This window comes from Homo sapiens, chromosome 5 (assembly GCF_000001405.40).
Source record: "Homo sapiens chromosome 5, GRCh38.p14 Primary Assembly".
Classification (NCBI taxonomy): Eukaryota; Metazoa; Chordata; class Mammalia; order Primates; family Hominidae; genus Homo; species Homo sapiens.
The window spans coordinates 155,627,321-155,632,835 of record NC_000005.10 but is presented as its reverse complement, the minus strand read 5'-3'; the positions used below and the strand labels follow the sequence as shown (position 1 = coordinate 155,632,835).

Sequence of the window (5,515 nt, the reverse complement as noted above, 5' to 3'; positions counted from 1 at the left end):
AACTCATAGGCTCAAGTGATTGGCTAGCCTCTGCCTCCCAAAGTGCTGGGATTACAGGTGTGAGTCACCATGCCTGGCCCTGGAAACACTTTTCCTTTTTTCTTGAAATGGAGTCTCACTCTATTGCCCAGACTGGATTTCAGTGGTGTGATCTTGGCTCACTGCAACCTCCTGTGTTGCAAGCAACTCTTGTGCCTCAGCCTCATGAATAGCTGGGATTACAGGCATGCGCCACCATGCCTGGTTATTTTTTGTATTTTTAGTAGAGATGGGTTTTCACCATGTTGGCCAGGCTCGTCTCAAAATCCTGACCTCAGGTGATCTGCCCACCTCAGCTTCCCAAAGTGCTGGGATTACAAGCATGGGCCACCATGCCTGGCTCTGGAAACACACTTCTAAAACATCTCAAGTTGTTTGTGATAGATAGGGGGCTACAGCTCTACACAACACAGTTGAAAAACCTATTCCCTCATTTAACAGTAAGAAACTGAGGGTGAGGGTCATTGCTCACTCAGTAAAACTCCCACAATTCCACCACCACTGTTATAGCCTTAAATAATGAGATGCATTTTCCAAATAACCCCTAAATCTTCAGATCCTGAGTCATGAGAAAAATACAATTGTGTTGGCTAGAGTTACGAAGACAGGGAAGCATACTCATACATTTTGGAAGTTTTTTCAACAAAAGCTGAAGAGGGAAATTCTATTTAATCCCTCAATTAATCAGAGAAGTAAAATCACTAGAATGTTCCTCTTAGAGTCCTTTAGTTAACTGAGATTTTACTATATTCAGCAGTTAAATACAATAGATTGTCAATGTATGAGACTCCATAAAGCTTCCATACCAAATTGATCTTTTTTTTATTTCATTTGGAGAGCAGGGAGGAGAAAAGGGTTGTCTCAGTTACAAAAGGGTGATCAAATTCCTTAGCTTATAACATGCACAATATATTTCTAAATCATATATGACCTCCCCTTGTTTCCTCCTTTTGGGTTTGCTAATTATGAATTTTTAAATCTTTTCAGTAAAATGAGGTTAAATTTGTTGATACTCCATTCACTAGACCAAATGCACATGCCTGCATGAGTCCACACACACAGCACACACATGCAGGCACTCTCTATTAGAGTACAAAATTCCCAATCAATATTTTAATGTTTTTTTAAAAAAAGATGTCAAGACTATATAAAAGCAAAAACTTACAGATAAACTTCAATGATAGTGTAATCTGATTAAAAGCAGCTAAGATATCTATTTCAAATGGCACTTATTTCTCAGCTGAAGCCCACATTTCCATGAAGGCTGGTTTTGGATCCTCTCTCTGGGGCTGGATTCCTGCCATCCACATACTAAATATTCCAGATACTGCAATGGCCCCAATGTCTCTGCGAATGCTAGTGGCAGGAGCAGTGACTCCACAGTGGAGAAGACGCATGAGAGGGAACACCTAGTTGGGAATTCCACGTCAGTTGATTTGTCACATGTCTGGAATTTCCTGTTTGCTGACTACAGAAATGAGGTTTAGCAAAACAGAAGCAGGTTCATGTGACTGTTTTTTCCATATTGTACCAGCCATCTGTTCCCACATAGAGAAGTTCTGATTAAGGAGGGAAGCCAAGGGAAAACTCCCTGTGTGTGACTCCAGAGAGTCCACTGGCCAGCCTACCTTATGGTACTGTTGGCTTATGTCCTCACAGAGCAATGAATATTTCTGATTTGGACCAGTCCATTCTATTCAGTTGAGGTCCTTGCCCCAGAGGTACACACAGGATAGATGGGGCTCATTTTCCTAGAGTATCAAGTTTACTTGGATATTGAGAGTGGTGAGGAAGAGGGTGGAGAAAAAAAACATTCTGTTTTATATTAAATCAAACAGTATGTGATTGCATGTCACAACATTTTCACTTTCCCCTGCTGTAGAGGAACTGAGAGAGGGTGGGAGCCCAGGAATAAATGGTACCATGAAGAAATGTAGGGTAAGGAAGAAGACAGCCAGGCTGGAAATACGAACATGTCAATTCTAGCCATGGATTGGACACTACCTTGCTGTGTCACCTGGGAAAAATGCCTTTTCTTTGTTGGAAAAATTGTATTACCTTACCATAAAGCTATAATAATTTAGACAACGTAGTACTGGCATATAGACATATAGCTATAGATAGAAAAAACAACTGACCAATAGACCCACACATTTAAGATCAATTAATTTTCTATAAAATTGACAAGGAATTCAATGACAAGAGATAAACTTTCAAACAAATGGTGCTGGAATTATCGGATATGCATAATAATTAAAGTTAAATCTTAGCTCATGCCACATGCAAAATTTTTAACTTGAAATGGATCATAGGCCTAAGGTAAAAGCTAAACTTATAACTTTTCTAAAAGAAAACATAGGAGAAAATATATGCAGCCTTGGGTTAGGCAAAGATTTTTTTTTAAGAAAAAAAGGTAGCAAAAATCACAGACATCAGATATAAAAACATTGACAAATTTGACATCATCAAAATTATAAATTTTATTCTTTAAAAGGCACTGTAAAGAAAATGAAAAGATAAGCCATAGACCAGGAAAAAATAGTTAGAAAACATACATTTGATGAAGAATCTCTTTCCAAGAGATACAATAATGTTCTTACAACTCAACAATAAAATAAAAAAATTATCCAGTTTCCACAAAAAATCTGAACAGACACTCATCAAAGAAGATATATGGATGGCAAATAAGCCCATGAAAGCATGCTCAACATCATTGGTCATTAGGGAAATGCAAATTAAAATCACAATGAGATACAACTCTATACCCTCTAGAATTACTATAATTCAAAAGACTAATCCTACCAAGCATTAGTAAGGATATGGAACTACTGGAATACTCATCTATTGCTAGTAGAAATGCAAAAATGGTACAGCAACTGGAACACAGTTTGACTATTTGGCTTTTATTTTTATTTTTACTTTTATTTTTATTTGAGTCTGAGTCTCCTCTGTTACCTAGGCTGGAGTGCAGTGGTGCAATCATGGCTCAGCCCTGACCTCCTGGACTCAAGCAATCCTCAGCCACCCAAGTAGCTTGGACTACAGGTGTGTGCAAATATGCCTGGCTTTTTTTTTTTTTTTTTTTAGAGATGAGGTCTCACTGTGTTTCTCAGGCCAGTCTTGAACTCCTGAGCTCAACGGATCCTCCCACCTCAGGCCCTCAATGTGCTGGAATTACAGGCATGAGCCATTGTGCCTGGCTCCATTTTTAAAAAATAAAATGAAACACACACTTACCACATGACCCAGCAATCCTACTCCAAATTTACCCAAGAGAAATGAAAAAAATACGTTCACACAAAAATTTGTATGTATATATTCACAGCAATTTTCTTCACAATGGCTAACAATTGGAAACCATGTCAGTGTCCCTCAACTGTTGGAGAAGCAAGTAGATATATTTCCATATAACACTACTCAGAGATAAAAAGGATCAACCAAATGGAGGAAAAGCACTATGCTAAGTAAAACAGATCAGAAGTAGAAGACAACATGCTTTATGATTCCATTTACATAAAATCCTAGAAGAGGCAAAATTAAAATGATAGAAAACTAAAGTGATAGAAGTCTGTGGTTGCCAGGGCAAGAGGTTTGGTAGAGGAAATTAACTCCAAAGGGGAGGAAAGAACGTTTGATGGCAAAGAAAATATTTTTCACTTTTATTGGGTTGGTAGTTACACTACCATATAGATTTGTTGAAACTCCTCAAATTAATTGAAAATTGTTAAATTTTACTGTACATAAATTACACCTCAATAAAGCTACATTTTTTTAAAAGGGGTTGCATTATACAACTTTTAATACCCCTTCATTTCATAAAACATGATCTTTAAGGAACATGAATTTTTGTTTGTTTGTTGTTGTTGTTTTTGTTTTGTTTTGTTTTTTTGAGACAGAGTTTCACTTTTGTTGCCCAGACTGGAGTGCAATGGTGCGATCTCAGCTCACCGCAACCTCTGCCTCCCGAGTTCAAGCAATTCTCCTGCCTCAGCCTCCTGAGTAGCTGGGACTACAGCATGTGCCACCACGCCCAGCTGACTTTGTATTTTTAGTAGAGACGGGGTTTCACCATGTTGGTCAGGCTCGTCTCGAACTCCTGACCTCAGGTGATTCGGCTGCCTTGGCCTCCCAAAGTGCTGGGATTGTAGGTGTGAGCCACTGCGCCTGGCCAGGAACATGAATCTTTTACAATAGGCCTGACCTTTGGCCCTAGAGAAAGACATTATCCTTATTATAACCACTCAGTAAATATGCCTGACCTATGGCCTGGAGGGGGACACCATCACTACCTTTCAAGTTCTTTGCTCTACAAACATCCTTGGAAAGATGATCCGGAACAAAGATAGTCAATGTCCCTGTTTGCAAGACATGAAAAACACCTGAGTGACCCATGGAGAACTAATACCAGTCACTGACGCTTCCCCTGAACTTCCACAGAAGGAATTTTGAGTTCAGAGTTAAAACACCCCAGTTTAAAACCAGGTTAAGTCACTGCTAGCTAGACAAAGTATTTTACTTCACTGGGGCCTCAGTTTCCTTGTCTATTCTATTTTAAATAATAATCGTTGTCTAGGAGTAGTTGGGTGAGCCAAGTAAGATAATATATTTTAAAGTGCTTTTTAAGTTCTAAGGAAATAGCTAAATAATTACTCCACTATGTACTTTTAATATTTCATTCTCTTATATTGTCAGATTCGTTGCCAACTTCTACTTCATATTCTTTCACTGCACTTAACACAAAACTGAGCAGATAGTAGGTATTCAATTAACCCTTGACGATTGCCTAATCCTTTGAGTAAAGAGGTATAGTTGAACTCTCCCTCCAATTTCCCCTTAAAAATTCCATAGCCTCTTTTGTTACTTTTTCTCCTCTGACCACTCTTTCTCAATCACCTTTAAGCTGGAGGGGAGAGGTGAAGATCTAGTTTATTTTCCTGTAGAAGGCACTTGGAATCTTACTCCAGCACCTAATGGGTGGCTACTTCTATCTGTGGCAAGTCCTTAGCAGATGAAGAGATGAGATGGTGTGATGCAGCCAGCATGCTCACCAGGCAAGAAATGTGTTCCCATGCATGGCCAGCACTTAGCATGGTGTTCATGTTCAACAGGGAATAAAAAATGGGACATGAGAAGTTGGTAGAAAAAAAGTCATCCCTTGTGCAATTACCTCTTTTTAAAAAATGCTTTAATGGATCAACCCAAGAAAGCAGTCTCTTCAGTCACTTCTACAATGTAAGTGACAGCAGGGCAGAAACTAGAAAAAGAGATCTGAGTTGGGCCATTTCCCATGGGTGATGGCAGAAGTTATGGTGATAATAATGGTGGTTGAGAGTGACCCAACACACTGAAGAATAACATCTCACATAGAGGTTCTAAACTCAGTGTATAAAGTGAAAAATATGAAAAGTCATGTCTAACCTTGAAAAATATCTCAGGAAGGTGTCACATTGGGTACCAAAATACTGTCTCTTAATGA

General features: G+C 38.8%; 1 annotated feature.

The window, feature by feature from the left end:
- Nucleotides 1,078-2,277: an enhancer, noted in NCBI's record as "MED14-independent group 3 enhancer chr5:155010119-155011318 (GRCh37/hg19 assembly coordinates)". NCBI's record gives its function as "activates an origin of replication core promoter dependent on BRD2, BRD4, P300/CBP and CDK7 cofactors, and independent of MED14, by STARR-seq in HCT116 cells {active_cell/tissue: HCT116}" and the evidence as "EXISTENCE:reporter gene assay evidence [ECO:0000049][PMID:35650434]".